Below are 19478 nucleotides of genomic sequence, written 5' to 3' on the forward strand. Positions count from 1 at the left end.
GAATTTATGACAATTCATTTTCAATAAATGTGGAAGATAATAGCAAGGAAGTTTTCATTAAAGCACATTTTTAAATTTTTCAATACTGTATTCTGAGTTGCATTATTAAATTGATCAGCTCAAAATGATGGATCAGTGATTTAGAATGAATGCAGGGTGTAAACGGAAAAATAACCATGATAATTAAAATCATTAAAGTGATAATCCCATCAGGCTCAGAATCCAAAGAATCAACTTACGTAAAATATCAAATAAGCAAGTGTATTTCTCCACTATTAAATCCACCATCAGTGCTTTATTTCAGCAAAACATCAAATAGAACATTAAATTAATGTTAATTTAAACTTTATGGTTTTTATAGTAAATTTATATAGTAATCGGTAAATTTAGTTTAGTTTTACAGCTGTATAAAAGCTATATACATAGAAAATTAATGTCTAACTTAATGTTTGTACAAATTTAAATAATATGCCATGTAAAATGGCTAAAAATAATTTCCATTAATACCAGGAGTCCAAGAGAATTTCTTTCTTGAGAATTTTTTTTTTTTTAGAAAGACCACCTTAACAAAAATCAAATTTGTTTTATTTTTTTGTTTGTTTATTTTGAGACGGAGTCTCGCTCTGTCACCCAGGCTGGAGTGCAGTGGCCAGATCTCAGCTCACAGCAACCTCCGCCTCCTGGGTTCAAGCAATTCTCTGCCTCAGCCTCCTAAGTAGCTGGGATTATAGGCACCCGCCACCATGCCAGGCCAATTTTTGTATTTTTAGTAAAAACAGGGTTTCACCATCTTGGCCAGGCTGCTCTTGAACTCCTGACCTCCTGATCCACCTGCCACGGCCTCCAAAAGTGCTGGGATTATAGGCATGAGCCACCACGCACAGCCCAAAATTCGGTTCTTTAAGAGAAGAGCTGGGAATGCACAGCCCCTTCCAATCAGGAAGCTCTATGTTTTATTTATTTATTTATTTATTTATTTTTAGACGGAGTTTTGCTCTTGTTGCCCAGGCTAGAGTACAATGGCGCAATCTCGGCTAACTGCAACCTCCACCTCCTGGGTTGAAGCGATTCTTCTGCCTCAGCCTCCCAAGTAGCTGGGATTACAGATATGTGCCACCACGCCCAGCTAATTTTTTTTGTATTTTTAGTAGAGATGAGGTTTCTCCACGTTGGTCAGGCTGGTCTCGAACTCCCGACCTCAGGTGATCCGCCCGCCTCGGCCTCCCAAAGCGCTGGGATTATAGGTGTGAGCCACCGCGCCCTGCCAGAAGCTCTATGTTGTCTTACCAGAGCTGGAGACAGCCAGAGCTCATGAAAGCTGCTTAATTGAAGGTCATCCTCAGCATGATTTGAGCTGTCCTGCTACAGGTCTGACCAACGGCCAGACTCTTCCCCTTGTATCCCTCTGCCCCCAAGGATCTCATTTGCCTATTTTAGATTTTTCACATCATCTAATTGTGATGGTTAATAGTAAGTGTCAACTTGATTGGACTGAAGGATGCAAAGTATTGTTTCTGGGTGTATTTGGGTGTCTCTGGGTGTTGCCAGAAGAGATTAACATTAGAGTTGGTGGACTGGGGGAGGAAGACCTACCCTCCCAAAGACCCACCCACAGTGTGGGTGGGCACCATCCAATTGGCTGCCAGCGCGGCTAGAAAAAGGGGGCAGAAGAAGGTGGAAGAAGCTTCCGGCCTTCATCTTTCTCCTGTGCTGGATGCTTCTTGTCCTCAAACATCAGACTCCAATTTCTTCGGCTTTTGGACTCTTTAGACTTACACCAGTGGTTTGCCAGGGGCTCTTGGGCCTTTGGCCATAGACTGAAGGCTGCAATTGTCGGCTTCCCCACTTCTAAGGTTTGGGGATTCGGGCTGAGTCACTGCTGGCTTTGTTGCTCCTTAACTTGCAGACGGCCTATTGTGGGACTTCACCTTGTGATCGTGAGTCAGTTCTGCTTAATAAACTCCCTTTCATGTATACATATATCCTATTAGTTCTATCCCTCTAGAGAACCCTGACTGATACACTAATAATAACTTAGATACCATTGTAAGAGATTTTCTTACAATGACCATCTTTTCCAAGTATCTTGAAATATACTCCTTTGCCTCCAAATTTATTTATATCTCTTGTAATAAGATTTCCAGAAAAACAGGGTGAAATTAGAAATTGCTCCATCCCTTAAACTCAGTTCAATGCAATTTAATATATACCAGCACTTACTATGTAAAAGACATTTACTAAGCATTAAGGATAGAGAGCTGAATTAAGTAATAGTCTCAGCAGCAAAATGCAGAAACTGTTTTACAGAGGTCACATTTCAGCCTCCATCCAGTGACTGTTAGGATATTTCAAGTTACCAAAGAGGAAAAAAAGTTGTTTTTGAATTTGGTGGTGTAAGTAGTCACCCATGAGGCTGAGGGTCCAGGGCGTACTCCTCTCATCACCACTGACCTCACGCTCATTCCACATAGACATTTTACAGTCAAGGAAAAGTTACCTGGAACCTGATACAAAGACAAGATGTTCTCAGAGAAGAACGAACAAATGCCATGCTTACTGATCAGGGTAACAGTTGAAAACACGGGGCATGAGTTCTGTATTTCATAAAGCTGCAGGATCCAAACACTTCTCACTAGCAGCCAACCAAAGACACTGGGGATGAGTAATGAGTATACACTACTCATTCTAAGGTTGGGAATTTCTCGTGATTGACTGACACTCCATCATGTCTCTCTAGAAGTATTTCTATTGGACCAGGCATGGTAGACATGATAGACAAATACTATGGGTAGTGGTGGTAGTTGTTTTTGAGACAGGCTTTTGCTCTGTTGCCCAGACTGGAGTGCAGTGGCATGATCATGGCTCACTGCAGCCTCAGCCTGCCAGGCCCATGTGATCCTCCTGCCTCAGCCTCTTGAGTAGCTGGGACTACAGGCACATGCCACCACACCCATCAAATTGTTGTATTTTTTTGTAGAGAAGAGATCTTACTAGGTTGCTAAGGCTGGTCTTGGACTCCTGAGCTGAAGCCATCCTCCCGCTTCAGCCTCCCAAAGTGCTAGGATTACAGACATGAGCCACAGCACCCAGCGGCTTTGTTTTTTTTGAATCTTAATGATAATATTGGGAGTTTATGATCACTTAACTGTTCTACACAAGTTGCATGTATTATCTCACTTAATCTTCACAACAACATTGAGGTAAGTTTAATTACCTCCATTTTAAAATGCACAAAATGATCACCGCATCCACGCCAACATCTACTGTTTTTTGATTTTTTGATTATGGCCATTCTTGTGGGAGTAAGATGTGTTGTGGTTTTGATTTGCATTTCCTTGATCATTAGTGATGCTGAGCATTTTTTTTCCTATGGTTTGTTGGCCATTTGTGTATCTTCTTTTGAGAACTGTCTATTCATGTCCTTAGCCCACTTTTGGATAGGACTGTTTGGTTTTTTCTTACTGATTTGAATTCACCGTAGATTCTGGATATTAGTCCTTTGTCAGATGTACAGATTGTGAAGATTTTCTCCCACTCTGTAGGCTGTCTGTTTACTCTGCTGACTGTTCCTTTTGCCATGCAAAAGCTCTTTAGTTTAATTAAGTCCCAACGAATTGTCTTTGTTGATATTGCATTTGCTTTTGGGTTCTTGGTCATGAAATCCTTGCTTAAGTCAATGTCTAGAAGGGTTTTTCCAACGTTATCTTCTAGAATTTTTAATAGTTTCAGGTCTTATATTTAAGTCCTTAATTCATCTTGAGTTGATTACCACTGGTGGGAGTATAAACTAGTACAGCTACTATGTAAAACAGTGTGGAGATTCCTTAAACAACTAAAAGTAGAACTACCATTTGATCCAGCAGTCCCACTACTGGTTATCTACCCAGAGGAAAAGAAGTCAATATATGGGAAAGATACTTGCACACTCATGTTTATAGCAGCACAATTTGCAATTGCAAAATCATGGAACCAACCCAAATGCCCATCAATCAACAAGTAGATAAAGAAACTGTGGTATATATATAGATGGAATACTACTCAGCCATAAAAAGGAATGAATTAACAGGATTTGCAGCGACCTGGATGAGACTGGAGACTATTATACTAAGTGATGTAACTCAGGAATGGAAAACCAAACATTTTATGCTCTCACTGATATGTAGAAACTAAGCTATGAGGACACAAAGGCATAAGAATGATACAATGGACTTTGGGGACTTAAGAGGAAGGGTGGGAGTGGGGTGAGGGATAAAAGACTACAAATGGTGTGCAGTGTATATGGCTTAGGTGATGGGTGCACCAAAATCTCACAAATCACCACTAAAGAACTTACTTATGTAACCAAATACCACCTGTACCCCAATAACCTATGGAAAAAGAAAAAAATGCATAAACTAGAGCAAGGATGAATGAACATCTATAGCTTACAGAACACACACAAGAAAATTAAGTTGTAAGACAACACTGCCACCTTTTAGGCCAAAAATAAATGAATTTTGGCAATTATCAACATGCATGATATATAATATGCAATGAAAAACATTTTATAAGCAAGTTCAATCCAAATACCTTCCCTTGCAGTGTAAAACAGCCTGGCCTCAATGTTCCCATTTCTAGGTCACTAGCTCATACATTAACTTAACCTACTATTGATGGAGATGACAGAGAGTCATCTTCTTTGACATCTTCAGAATTCTCAAGTAGAGAGTGAAGATGGCTTCATGTGTTAATTAATTAGAAAGTTTGCAAAAATCTGAACATATCACTTTCACTTTTCTCTCCTCAACACAGTCAGGGAGGTTTTTCTGTTTCTTATCTCATGAGACCTCCCTTGTTCTGATTAATTATTTGGCATTGTACTGGGAATGAGGTGTGTACGTATGAGTTTTTTTGTTTTGTTTTGTTTTGTTTTTGAGACAGAATCTCACTCTGTTGCCCAGGCTCTGGAGTGCAGTGGCGCCATGTCCCCTCACTGCAAGCTCCACCTCCCGGGTTCACGCCATTCTCCTGCCTCAGCCTCCTGAGTAGCTGGGACTACAGGCACCCGCCACCACGCCCGGCTAATTTTCTGTATTTTTAGTAGAGACAGGGTTTCACTGTGTTAGCCAGGATGGTCTCAATCTCCTGACCTCGTGATCCACCTGCCTCGGCCTCCCAAAGTGCTAGGATTACAGGCGTGAGCCACCGTGTCCGGCCCATGTGAGTTTTTAATGGTGAAAAAAATACAATAAAATCTTCATCAATATTACAAGGACAGTAAAGGATATAAATGACACTTTAATGTAAGGCATGAGCCCCCTTTTCCTAAAACCTTCCCTCTCATACTATATATAGTGTCTTTTATATACACAAAATTATTTGCAAAGAGCTCATATGCACAGGACAAATACTATAAAATATAACTTTTAAAATGTACATAGGCAACTTAGAGATCTATATGTGTAACTAAGAATATTTTAATTCCTTGATCAATTTTCAGGGTTTTATTTTTGTTTGTTTGTTTCTTTTTTTTAAGACAGGGTATCACTCTGTTCCCCAGACTATAGTACAGTTACACAATCTCAGCTCACTGCAACCTCAACCTCCTGGGCTCAAGTGATCCTCCTACCTCAGACTCCTGAATAGCTGGGACCACAGGTGTCTGCCACTGTACTCACTAATTTTTTTCATTTTCTGTAGAGATGGGGTCTCACTAGTTTGCCCAGGCTAGTCTCAAACTCCTGGGCTCAAGCGATCCTCCCATCTCAGCCCCACAAAGTGCTGTGATTACAGGGGTGAACCACCATGCCTGGCCTTTAATACTTTAAAATAGATTATTCTCAGAAAAATTGACTAAAAAATTCTCTGATATTTTGGCAGGGCCACATTTAAGCCATCCCAGACAAGTATAAAAACCATGGTTATGGTTTCAAGACTTCCAGAAAATGTCATTTATGTTAGCCATTCATATGCTAGTGTGATTTTAACAATTATTTCTGATATTTAGCCTAAATCTCTCATATTATAAATCATATAAATTTCCTGTCATTTCTTTTTTTAGTGGACAAGAATTAGCATTAAATGGGTGATAGACTCTTAGTCTTCTAAAAAGCTGTATCAAATGAGAAGCTGTTTACTGCATATCATTAACCTAATATTTAAACTGTTTAAAAGAGATGTTATAAGTGGGGCACGGTGGCTCACACCTGTAATCCCAGCACTTTGGGAGGCCGAGGCAGGTGGATCACTTGAGGTCAGGGGTTTGAGACCAGCCTGGCTAACATGGTCTCTACTAAAAATACAAAAATTAGCCAAGAGTGGTGGCAGGCGCCTGTGGTCCCGCTACCAGGGAGGCTGAGGCAGGAGAATCACTTGATCCTGGGAGGCAAAGGTTGCAGTGAGCTGAGATCATGCCACTGCACTCCAGCCTGGGCAACAGAGTGAGACTCCGTCTCAAAAAATAAAATAAAATAAAATAAAGTTATAAAAGTTATTAAAATAATTTATAGTATTCAGATGTACTGAGTCATAATTACATATCATAGTCATTGACCAAAAATCTCAACAGAGAATCTCTACCAAACACTCTTCAGGAAAGCACCCAAGATATAATATCCCCTATTTGGGAAAGTTTCACATATGCCTGATGGAGCCTATGTTCATCAAAGTAAGCTCTGTCCCTACTCCGATCCTAGAGCAGATGGCATCACACAGCAGTTTTACAAGAACATTGGCCTCAAGTTGTTAAAAACCAAGAAATCACATGTAGGTTACTCACCTGAGTGAGTCTCTGGAGCCCCAGGACTGCAGTGAAATATACTGATCCTGGCATGAAAAGTTAATTCACTACTTCATGGCTCTCCTGCCAGATAGTTTCCTTGGCCTTCCTAACGTTCTATTGATTTCCATTGATTGAAGTTGCTTAATTCTAAGGTGTATAAGGTGTATCTTGAAATGGACACTTCATTGGTTTTTATGTTCATTGGTTTCCACAGACCCTCCTCAAATTGTGGCACAGAATTAAATAACTTGAAGAGCCAACTATGGATGATCAGACTTTCATTCTAAAACTAAAAGCTCCTGTTAAACACCCTTGAAAACAAAGTCAGTGCCTCATTTCCTGGATCATAGTTTATGTAGCATGGTGACTTATTATATATTAAACTTTTGGTAAAACATCAATATTCTTTCTTTTACATCAAAACTTCTGTGCCGGTAAAATGTCACCACAACATCTTCCCCCCGACCGTCTTTCTTTGCATTTCGATATGGACAAAATGAAAGTGGGATCATTCTATTTGTGGCACAATGACCACTACCAAAATTACCTAACCTATTCTAAAGCCCTTTTCTTCCAAGTGCCGCCATCTGATTTGTCAAGTCCCCTACTGAAACCACAGCACGTGGGAAACAGATGGAATAAATCATAGTTGAGTAGGAATAGAATATATATTTCAATGGCAAGAACTAGAATAAGAAAGTAACCTGGGTAGAAATTGGAGTCAAATATCCACATGGGGCAGAGCTGAGAGTTAGAGGAGAACCAAAATCAGAGAATGATCGGGAAAGAAGCAGAAGCAGGATATGGAAGTGGGATAAACCAAGATACACAAAATATGATGGTCATTTATCATGGCCACTCAACTTGATAATTTCCAAAAATGAAATTTTATCTTAATACACAGATTGTTCAATGTGTGGGTTCTTTAAATGAAAGTGTCTTAACCTGAACAGTTTTACCTTAATAGGAATACTGATGAGCCTCAGAGACTGTAAAGAGTCCCCTGAATTACTTTGCAAAATGTGGGGGGTATTGGGGGGGGAGTAAGTACAGTTTTTATCAGATTCTCGAAGGAGACTATGGCCCCTAAAACTCAAGAACTACTCGCTTCTCTAGAGGATGAAGCCACCATTATAGCCATTCCCTCTGGCAAGGGATCAACACACTGACTGCCTTGAGTGATTTCCCCTGCAGCTTTCCTTATGGGTCAGGGAACTTACTTGAATTACAGGTCACCAGCTGTGATGGACACTCATGGCCATTTTCACTAGGATCAAAGCTTCCCCTCAAATACTCGTAGTGAACACAACGTATATAAATAGACATATTCAGGGACATTTTAATAAAAATGTACTCTCTAGGGTTGGGGCAGGGCATTTTGCAGTTAAGGAAAAGCTACCTGGAACCTGATAGAAAGGCAGAATGTTCAAGGAGAAGAACAAATGAACCTGATACAAAGGCAGAATGTTCAAGAAGAACAAATGAATGCTATGCTTACCGAGCAGGGTAACAATTGAAAACATGGGGCATGAGTTCTGTATTTCATAAAGCTGCAGGATCCAAACACTTCTCACTAGCAGCCAACCAAAGACATTGGGGATGGCTAATGAGTATATACCACTCACTCTAAGGTTGGGAATTTCTAGTGATTGACTGACACTCCATCATATCCCTCTAGACCAGGCATGGTAGACATGGCATTGGTTTACTTGTGTTGTACCTGCTGTTGCTTCTGTATCTTCCCTGACCATAAATAGAACTTTGCTCAGTGGCTCTGTCAGCTAAACAAATGTCTATCATCATCAATTTACCATAATTAACACCCAACACCCACCCACATACACACGTCTACCTAGAGACAAACAACAAACAAACAAAACAAACATTCATTCAAAGGTTTCAAAAACCAGACACATATACTGAAAATGGTACATTTCTACCAAACCAACTTGGTTATGATTCAGTTTAATGGTGAGCCCTGGAGTAATACAATTCTTTTGTGTTCTGTTGAAAGTACTGAAGTTCTCTTTAAACAAACTCACTTTGTTGTTTGTTTGTTTGTTTGTTTGTTTGTTTTTTCTGAGACAGAGTCTCACTCTGTCTCCCAGTCTGGAGTGCAATGGTGTGATCTTGGCTCACTGCAGCCTCCGCCTCCCAGGCTCAAGTGATTCTCCTGCCTCAGCCTCCCAAGTAGCTGGGATTACAGGTGTGTGCCACCCATGCCCAGCTAATTTTTGCATTTTTAGTAGAGACGAGGGTTTCACCATGTTGGCCAGGCTGGTCTAGAACTCCTGACCTCAAATGATCCACCCATCTCAGCCTACCAAGTGCTGGGATTATAGGCATGAGCCACCACACCCGGCCAGAACTCACTTTGTATTACCTTACAACATATTTTCTGAAGGAATCCCACTGGACAGTAAGGTATGTACACAGCAACCATATAGATCCATCAACTGCTTTGCATGCTGAACTAGACCAGTTTTCAACAGCATTGAAGCCCTTTCCAAAGTGTGTGCACGTTTTACATGCCTAGACCTTTCGAAATGTTTGAACAAGAGATTAAGCCTTGTATTTCACACTCTCACCTACTTGAAATATTCATGTGAAGATAGGGTGGGTATGAGACGTCCAGGAGTTCTCATCAAAAAATATTTGATGACATCATGAAATCTCTGCTAACCTGCAAGTAATTCTTACCAGGTTTTAAAAACTGAGAAGACTGAAGCTTCAGCCATGTAGAAATACAGATGAAAACCAGCAGGCTTCTGGCCAGGAAAACAAATCTGAATCACACATGAAAGTATTTGCATTCGGGCTCTAAAAATCTTTCAATTCTGATTTTCTACATTTGATTTGTACTTGATCAGAAAATCAACTAAGCCAAATTTGAATCCAAAATACAAAGGGCAGGGCTGAATCGAACAGTCTATTTTCATCTTAGCAAAAATTTTGCCTGGGATTTGTTTTCATTTAATTCTGATGTTATTTTTATCTTTATACTTTCATTTATTATTTCTATGTCATGTTTTATCTTTGTAGAGATAAACTAGTAACAACTGAGAGACAGTACCCTTTTTAGAGGTTTGTGAATTTTCAAACACTGATCATTTTCCTCTACTTTATGTAGCCAATTATTGTCCAGATTCCTTTGAAATTTCATTTTCTGTAAGAAGTTTAGTTTCAAATTATTTTCCAAATGGATTTGGATTTTTTCTTTCATGTTTGTCATCCACAAAACTTATTTACTTATTCATTTATAAAGCTTCACAACTAGCCTGAGGAATTCTGAATATTGGCTTCAACAGACACATTTTTATTCATTAGCAGGATCCAAAAATACCTTTTCATATTTACTTCTGGAACCTTCAAACAGTTCCTTCCTTTTATTATTTCTTTGTAGCTTCAATTGTTCTCAACTCTTGGAGGAAAAATGTTTCTTTTCCACTTTAAGAATTCAAATGAGAATATTTCAGTGATTTAAAATCAACTCACTGACGCACTATAGAAACTATAAATGTCATATTTAATGGTCACAAGTAGAACTACCCAAGGACTCATGGCAAGAATCCTCCAAAGTTGTTAGTGGTGGCGGGAGGAGTGTGGCTTGATTTTGCTCTGCCTTAATATCTGCACTTCTAATGGAACCATTCAGCAGAATGGTTTTAATTTTAACAACAACCAGTAGCATTCATGCTATGGACTGACCCGTCTTCAAGTAGGAAATCCTTTCATATACCATTCTGCATGTTGAAGATGAGCTCAATTGAAAAGTAGACACAACCACCAAAAAACGTACTAAACCACTTTTCACATACCAACATAGAAGTTAAGAGGTGGGAAGGAGGAGAGAAGAAATGAGAATGGTGTGGAGTAGAGGAAGAAAAAGCTGGGCAACATGGCAGAAGACCGAAGCCATCAAAGAAAGGAAGTCAGAAATTTCTGGTGTTCATTGGCCAAACATCTTCCCAGAATGTGTGTATGTAACATTCATTATTGAGTTGTCACCACAAAATTAAAAAAAAATTTTTTTTGAAGTTCTTCACACATGTCTTCTATGAGTGGTTTGGAGGAAAACTGGCAAGGCTGGCGGAAGTCATTTTCTGAAATGCAGAAAAGAAAGAAAAGGCCAGGTAGAGTGCAGTCAATGTGGGAACCAGGAACTCACTGGAACAAGCTCCTAGAGCTGGAAAGAGCCACAGAAACACGAGCCCCAGAATTAACTGCATTTTTGGTGGGGACTTTGGATTTCCTAGAGGATATGCTATTGAGCCATCCATTTAAATCTCAAAGGACAAAATAAGTGATAAAATCCATTGACATCTGCGTAACCTTGCAGTCATCATGTTGGTAAACTTCTCTGCTAGGCTTATCTGAATCAACAACTTCTTCACTATGGCAAAGGAACCTCAACTGACATCATCTCAGAAGGTGAGTTGTGAATTGTGTACTTGCCTCCTGACACATACATGAATTTCTTTCATCCCCCAGATTTTTACAGTTTTTAATTTCCCATTTGACATAGTGGGAAAAAAAAGGGGAAAACAAAACAAAAAACAAAACAAAAAAAAAACACATGATTCGTGTTGCCTTTGGTAAAGGCAATCATTGATGAGGGTGTCCTTAAATAGATAAAAATTCCAGTTGCCATGACCTAGAGGAAGCTCAGGTTGACCACAAACCCAGGCTCCTGCCCTGCTCCTCAGTTACAAAACCGAGACAGTGAGGAGGGAAATGGTGATGGATAGCCAGCTTTGTACCCTAGGTATATGCCCACCCTGCTAGAATACTGCAAAACCCAGTATTTCTTTTTAATCAATCTCTAGACAGAATTAGGCCCTAGCTTATAGCTGAAAATGAGAAATAAATTCATTGTGCTTTCTGTCCCATGTATTTCCTACTACTTCTTGCTTATAATAATATGGAGATAAAGATTCATTGTGTGTGTAAAATTGGTTTTCCAACAAATTCTGTTGCTCTTAAAATAAAAATAAGATTCCCAGGGTAAGAAAAAAAATGAATGTGCAAAAGAAAACAACCAAAGTACGCAGGAAGTAATAGAGGAAAGAAAACAAACAGTAAAGGACCATTGATAAAACAACGTGCATTACCTGGCTAGATCTTTTTCCCCACAAACTAAGATAGTTTGATGCGTTTAAATTGTGCTGTAACTCCCTTCTGGATAAAACCATAGAGGAAAGACACAGTTGTGTGCTTGGGCTTCTCTCCAGGCAGCTTACTTGGAAGCTGAGAATGTCAGACAGTCTGAACTAGGAAATGGGAGAGTGTGTGTGAGAAGCAATCTTAAGAACAGCCGAATGGGCTGGCCACACTTGCATGATTCCTGGATGGCAAAGAAAGTCTGCAAAAGATGCCAGACTGTTATGTGGCTGCTGGCAGACTCTGCTCTAAAAGTGGAACATTTAGAGTTTCAGTGGGCAGGCTTGGATACATAAGAAGCTTAAGCAGAGTGAGACAGACTATCTTTTTACCGACATAGCCAGCTTACGGGAAGCTAGCAAGAGAAAAAAAGTATGTGTAAATAGGTAACCAATGGCCACTTGGCAAAGAGGCAGCCCCTAGATTCCTAAAAAGCATATTTGGACCTCTGCCTATGGCTTTTACTTATTTGTTCATCTATTTATATATCCACCCACCTACCTACCTACCTGCCTGCCTTCCTACCTACCGGCCTGCCTGCCTTTCTTCCTACCTACCTGCCTTAATACCTACCTACCTGCCTGCCTGCTTTTCTGCCTCCTACCTGCCTATCTACCTACCTGCCTATCCATCTACCTACCTACCTGCCTATCTACCTACCTGCCTACCTGCCTATCTATCTACCTGCCTATCCACCTATCTACCTACATGCCTATCCATCTACCTGCCTACCTGCCTATCTACCTACCTGCCTTAATACCTACCTACCTTTCTGCCTCCTACCTGCCTATCTATCTACTTGCCTGTCTACTTGCCTATCTACCTACCTGCCTATCTATCTACCTGCCTGCCTGCCTTTCTGCCTATCTATCTATTGCCTTAATACCTACCTACCTGCTTACCTGCCTGCCTATGGACTAGAAAAGAATCCTAAAGCACTGCCAAAGCTTTCATGTCTTTTTTACCTTTAGTTGGCTTAGAGCAGAGGTGAATTAAATGGCAAATAGTTGAGACATAAAACTGTATCTACGATTTGTACTTCTTTCAGACCCATCTTAATTTGCTTTAGGCTGAAGGACTCTAGTATCAAATACATGACTTTACTGTGAATCCCAGCAATTACTAAAGGCAGGCAATGAATATCTGTGGCTTCGGGAAAGCCATAGGTAGACTCTACCGGTCTTTTCCTTTACTGGAATGTATCAAGGTAGAAAGTACATAGTACTGGAAAACAGGAAAACTTCCAGGGCAGGGAAGACAAGGCTTCCCACAGGCCAGCTTCAAGGGCCTCTTTTCATTCTCTATCACTTCCTCCCCTCTGAATCTCTCTGCTCATATGAACAAAGAGTGTTTCCGCCAAGTGAGTGGGGCTCTTATGTGGCGGTCTGCAGATGTTAGGAGGGGCAATTGCCCCCAACACTGTTCTCAATATTTGTGTGCATATACATCTTTCTGGACTCCCAAAGAAGCTGATGTCCCAAGAAATGTTTAGAACCACATCTGCCAGTCACAGAGGACCTGGTATTGTATGATTCGATTTACAGCCCATGTCCAGAGGAAGCAAATCCACAGATACAGAAAGTCTAGGGCATAACCTAGGGATGGGAAGCAGGGAATGGGGGTGGTTGGGAGGAAACAGGGAGTTATTGCTAATAGGTATGAGATTTCCTTTTGTTGGGTGAAGAAAATGTTCTAAAACTGATTGTGATGATGGTTGTACAACTCTGAATATACCAGAAACCACTGAATTGTGCACTTTAAATGGGTGAATTGTATTGTATGTGAATTATATCTCAATAAAGCTGTTATTTTAAAAGAAAAAAATCTATAAAACCCTGACCCACCAGAAATGTACCATTTAGCCCTTCCTGAGAAAATAGCAACATCCAGGGGCTCATCAGACCCTGAAATGACAGAGAAAATGGCAAGCATCTTAAGTATAAGAGCTCCCTTCTTTATCAATGCAAACCTCAGAAAAAAAGGAGACTTATTTGGGTCTTTAGTGACTTTGGTTTACGTTTTTCTCCATAGCAACTGGGCCAAATATTGCACTAACTGAATACTCCATGGGTCAAGTGCCTACAAGTTAGTGGACACCTCCGGAAAAAAACGCAGTCACAGAGTAAATTCAGGAAATCCTATTATGTCAGTAGTTCACCGGACAACTGGCATCCGCTTCTGATTATTTTTCTCCTGGTTACCAAATCCCTCATCAGTTAAAGCCAATGAGTTTTTAACATCCTAAGACAGAAATGAGGTTATAACACTCACATGGAGATAATTCTTAAAGGGAATATATTTAGCCACCTTTTTGAGACAGTCTTGCTCTGTCGCCTAGGCTGGAGTGCAGTGGCGTAATCTCGGCTCACTGCAACCTCCGCCTCCCGGGTTCGTGCCATTCTCCTGCCTCAGCCTCCCGAGTAGCTGGGACTACAGGCACCCGCCACCATACCCAACTAATTTTTTGTATGCTTTAGTAGAGACAGGGTTTCACTGTGTCAGCCAGGATGGTCTCAATCTCCTGACCTCGTAATCCACCCGCCTCAGCTTCCCAAAGTGCTGGGATTATAGGCGTGAGCCACCGCTCCCCGCCAGCCACATTTTTAATATACAATATCATCCTTCCCTCGTCAGAAGTAGTACAACATTATCGTGCAGAATATCATTTTTATTAAAGCTGAGGTATTTGTTACAAGTGGTGCAATACCCTTCATACCATATGTTTTCCCATGTGGACAAAATTTATTTGGAGTTTGCCTGCTGGAGGAAATTTAAATACCAGTAAATTGATGGTGATTTAAAAAAATAAATACTTATAAACGTTCCTTTTTTAACTAACCATTACTGACAGAAACCTTACAATCCAGGGATCTAATTCTCTGGAAGTAGCCACGAAGAGAGGAATTTTAGCAAAAACCTCACAATGAAACTCATAGCTCAAGACTCACTTTCCAGCCCAATGAAGAGACAGGGGGTGGGAGAGGGAGGGAGCATGACTTTTAAAAGCTAGCAATCTGGCAGGAAGTTGAATGAATTTTCCCTCCTCCTTTAGGAAGGGAGGCAGGACAAAAGGCAGGGTTTTCGCAGCAATTTTCATTTTTCAGTCATTTGCAGGAAAGCCCAACCAGTCTGATTAACATTCAGCCATCTGTCTGAACACAAAAGCCTGCAACGTGCAACATTTAAGTTCTACGGATAGCTTTAACATGTTATCAATTAAACAAGTTTTCCTTCCACTGTAGTTTTTGGACTTAAATCTGATTTCTATTTATTGGGGTGGGAGAAGATGAGAAGAAAGAGTGGGAAGAGAGAATCTGAATTACGACTTTATCAGACCCAAGTTAAATGTCATCAGATTACAACTCTGCAGAATTGACTCCCTGGGTCGCCAGGAGACCAAAGGAAGCCAAGATTGACAATGTACAGATTCAAATGCATTTTCTTCATTATCAACCCCACAAAAAGAAGAGGGATAATAAGGGACATATGTAAACTTTATATACGCAGATATCTTGCTGGTTGGAGAAGGCTGCCTGCTACGTAATTTATCCTGAAATATTTCCTTTAAAAAAAAAAAGAGAGAGAGAGAGAAAAAAGAAAAAAATGCAACTAGGTTTTACTGTCCCAGCAAGGGTATGACAGCAACAATTTACAATTTTCCTCCATCTCATTCTCCCCTCCTCCCTCCTCTGCCTCTCCACTCACCATCCATTCTCCATTTCCTGACAACTTCTCATCACGTTAGTTCATGCCTAATCTAAAATGGTGGTGGGTGAAGGAATTTTTTTAAAAAAATAAGATAGAAAAAGGAAAAGGGAGACAATATGATTAGAAGGAGGACAGGAGAAAGAGCAAGATTGAGAGAGACGGAGAGACTGTCAACGCCCAAGTCTGCATTTGCCTATTTAAATGCAATCCTGCAGCCCTGGCTGAGCTATGCAATAGATGGGCTGCGTTATGAATTTCTGATCAGACAATGATAGGTTATGAGAGGAGACGTAATCCCATTGAGAAAGCTTTTTCTTCCAAGCAGGGGCAAGTGATACCTACCCCAGAGAGACAGCTCCTTGCTTTGCCCTCTATGTGTATGTAAGTATGTGTGAAAACATATATAAATTTCTGCCTTTCTTTAAAAATAAAAAGTCAAAATAAACATTTTATGATGATAAATGTGCAGTATTAATTGACAGTCACATCTGAAACAGGAATGTTCCCTGGCAAATCAGACTCACCTACCACATAAACTGCATTTTTTTTTGTTTTTTGAACCTGATTAGAATTCTCTCCTGTGCTCATCTCATTTTTTTGTACCTGTATTCGTCATCTAAAGAGAAAGCGAAAAGATTGAAAACCACCAACAACACTGGTGGTGTTTTGAGTATATTCTATGGCTTGCTTCCCTTTCAATATTTTGTATTTACCTAAAAAAAAAACTCATACATATACAATGAATAATATATTTCATGTACAGTACTCAATGGAAGAAACCAATCTTAAAGTTTTTTTTTTTTTTTTACATTTCCACGCATGTGAAACAATACTTTCAATTGCTTTATGAAGTAATTATAGGCAGTTAATTACTCTAGCTGTAGTTAAGCATCACACTAACCAAGAGGTTTGTAGGTTAATTGAAACTTGCGTAATAGAGACAGGGTATTAAGTATTCCAAGTCAGGATTTTGCAACAGCTCTTGGCTACTGTGCAGTAAAAAGTTAGGAACCGTACATCTAGTACTTCTAGGATCTGGGGCTGCTGGAGCAAGTACATGAGCCTCCCTGCACCAGATGCAGACACACACAAGAGACCAGTACCCATTTACAAGCAGAGAAAGAGGCTACTCCAAGTTATACGAATGTCATGGAAAGAATAACAGACAAGAGAGGTGTTTATGAATGAAAGCAGGGTAAGCTTAAAATGTAAGAATTGTCATCACATTTAAAAGAAGGCAGTTGGACTTCGTCCCTATCCTGTTTTAAGTGACATCACACGGAGTGAACAGCATCTTACAGTCTTGTTTTTCTTCTTTTGCCAGGAGGCATCCCAGGACCTAATGGAAATTCACAGCCAGAGGAGGGTTACTGGTCTACGTTTTACGTAATGTTCATCTTACCACAGGGACTCACTGTGGGCAGAATACAGCATGCCATTTCACCCAGAGTCCTCTAAGTCAGTTTTTTTGTTTGTTTGTTTGGGGGAAGGGGCGAGGTTGTTTAAAACAACATTTCTTTCACGATTTAGGGATATTTTTTCTTCTCCTTATAAGTGCTCCAATTCTTAATTATGATCTACAAGAGCAAAATTGCAAAAGCCTATCAGTACCATTCTGCCTTTTGAAATGCCGTGTTTCTTACGTTCAACTTCTGTTGCACGTACATGTCAGGGTAACTTCAGTTCTCTTTACCCTCTAAGCTGTAATGGATCCATTAAGCGAGTGAGGATATGCGGGTGGGTAGTGGGATGGGGGGTTCATCTGAGAGTGCAAATTATTTACCTGATTTAGATTGATTAAAGTCAGGCATGCTGTCTGCATTTCACCATCTTTTTAAAATGGGGAACCTGCCCTGAAAGAATATTATGTAAATCTTTCTGTCACAGATTAGTGCCCTATACATGACTTCCACAATGTGCATCTGCCTTCTGTGCAAGCTTATTACGTACACACACACAGTTTCCAATTTTTAACCTCCCGTCCTGCCCATTCTCTTCCTTCCCCCAACGCTCATTATGGGAAAATTACCTCAAACAGGACACTACTGGTTGCCTTCCATTCTATTTACATAATTGCTGTTTTGTTGCTTTTCTTTTTCATAAGTGGAAATTTTGTTCCCCAAAGGAATAGCATCGATGTTGAAGTGACAAAATGGAGTTTCCACTCGGGGTGGCAAATGGAGAGGAGCTTCTAGCAACATGTTCTGGGGCACTCTGTGCTCACCAGGTTGCAAGTTGTTCTGAGGATTACAGGCAGAGGTTTTCGTGATGGTGGCAACCCACTGGAAAAAATTCCTAGGCCAGGGATGGTAAGCTTCTGAGAACCACGAAAATAGCTGGGCTAGGACCGATGCCTCCTGAGGGTTTAATACAGCACTATGCCAAATCTGAAATGAACTGATCTAACTTTCATTCATAATTAACATCAACATTTATATACATGTGAATAAACAGAAAACTACTTCTTTAAGAAACTTTTGTGAGAAAGTAAATTTCAAAAGAAGCAACTTTGTAGCTTCCATGTTCACACTCTGGATTCTGTGACTTCCATATTAGGTACTACAAGACAAATAAAAAATACGTGAGGTACACTCATGCATTTTTTAACCATGAAGTATATCACATATACAGAAAAGCATAAAATATGTATGTTCAGTATGAATGTGCGTAATGATCTCCCTTTCTGGTTTTAATTTGTAGTACCCTGATTACCAGTGGGGTTAAGCATTTTTTTCATATGTTTATTAGCCAGTGGGGTTTGTCCTTTTGTGAAGGGTCTATTGGATTCGTCTTTTTCTTATTCCTTTGCCAGAATTCTTTATATTTTCTGGATACTACTTATTTGTCACTTGAATATATTGCAAATATCTCTCCCCATGAGATGGTTTTACTTCTCACTCTCTTTACGGTATCTTATGATGAATGTTAAGTTATTAATTTTAATGTAGTTCTATTTATTACATCTATCCCTTATGGTTAGTGTTTTTGTGCCTTGGTTAAGAAAATTTCCCCTATCCTGAGGTCATGAATAATTATCTTATAAAAGCTTTATTGCTTTGTCTATTACATCTTTAGGGCTTTGTTCCACTTGGAATTGGTTATTTTGTATACCATAAGGTAGAGGTCTAATTTCTTTTTTGTTCATACAGATCACCAATTGTCCTAGCATCATTTACTTAAAGTTTTCTCCTTTCCCCTCAAGTCTATATATGAAATGTATAAACATAGGTTGGTCTATTTCTCAGTTTTCTATTCTGTTCCATCGGCCTGTTTATACCTATACCATTTCTACACTTGTATCAATGTGGTCCAGTGATATATCTTGACATCTGGTAAGGAAGTTCCCAAACATATTTTCTTTTAAAAGCTTCCTGGCAACACTTCATCCTTTGCATTTCTACCGACATTTCTTGTATCAATTTGGAATTTTGATTGAGAGTGCACTGAACCTGTAGATCAGTTTTGGGAGAACTGTTATCATTCATGAACATGCCATATTTCTCCACATATTCAGATCCTCTTGAAAGTTGTTCAATAAAATTCGATTTTCAGATAACAGGCTTTATACAACTTTGATTAGACTTATTCCTACGTTCTTTATATTTTTGATACACTTAGAAATGGTATATACATAAAAATTTATTTTCTATTTGTTACTAATATATAGCAATGTGGTTTATTTTTCCATATTTATTGTGTTTTCAGCAACCTTGCTGAGTCTTTACTAATTTAATTAATTTTTCAATTGATTCTTTTGGATTTTCTACGTTCACAATATAATCATCTATGAAGAATGATAGTTTCATTTCTTCCTCTATGATCCTATACATTTTATTTCTTTTTCCTGCCG

General features: G+C 39.6%; 1 annotated feature.

Annotated features, from left to right (window-relative positions):
• Positions 17189 to 18388: an enhancer, noted in NCBI's record as "MED14-independent group 3 enhancer chr16:73951504-73952703 (GRCh37/hg19 assembly coordinates)". NCBI's record gives its function as "activates an origin of replication core promoter dependent on BRD2, BRD4, P300/CBP and CDK7 cofactors, and independent of MED14, by STARR-seq in HCT116 cells {active_cell/tissue: HCT116}" and the evidence as "EXISTENCE:reporter gene assay evidence [ECO:0000049][PMID:35650434]".

This window comes from Homo sapiens, chromosome 16, assembly GCF_000001405.40.
Source record: "Homo sapiens chromosome 16, GRCh38.p14 Primary Assembly".
Lineage (NCBI taxonomy): Eukaryota > Metazoa > Chordata > Mammalia > Primates > Hominidae > Homo > Homo sapiens.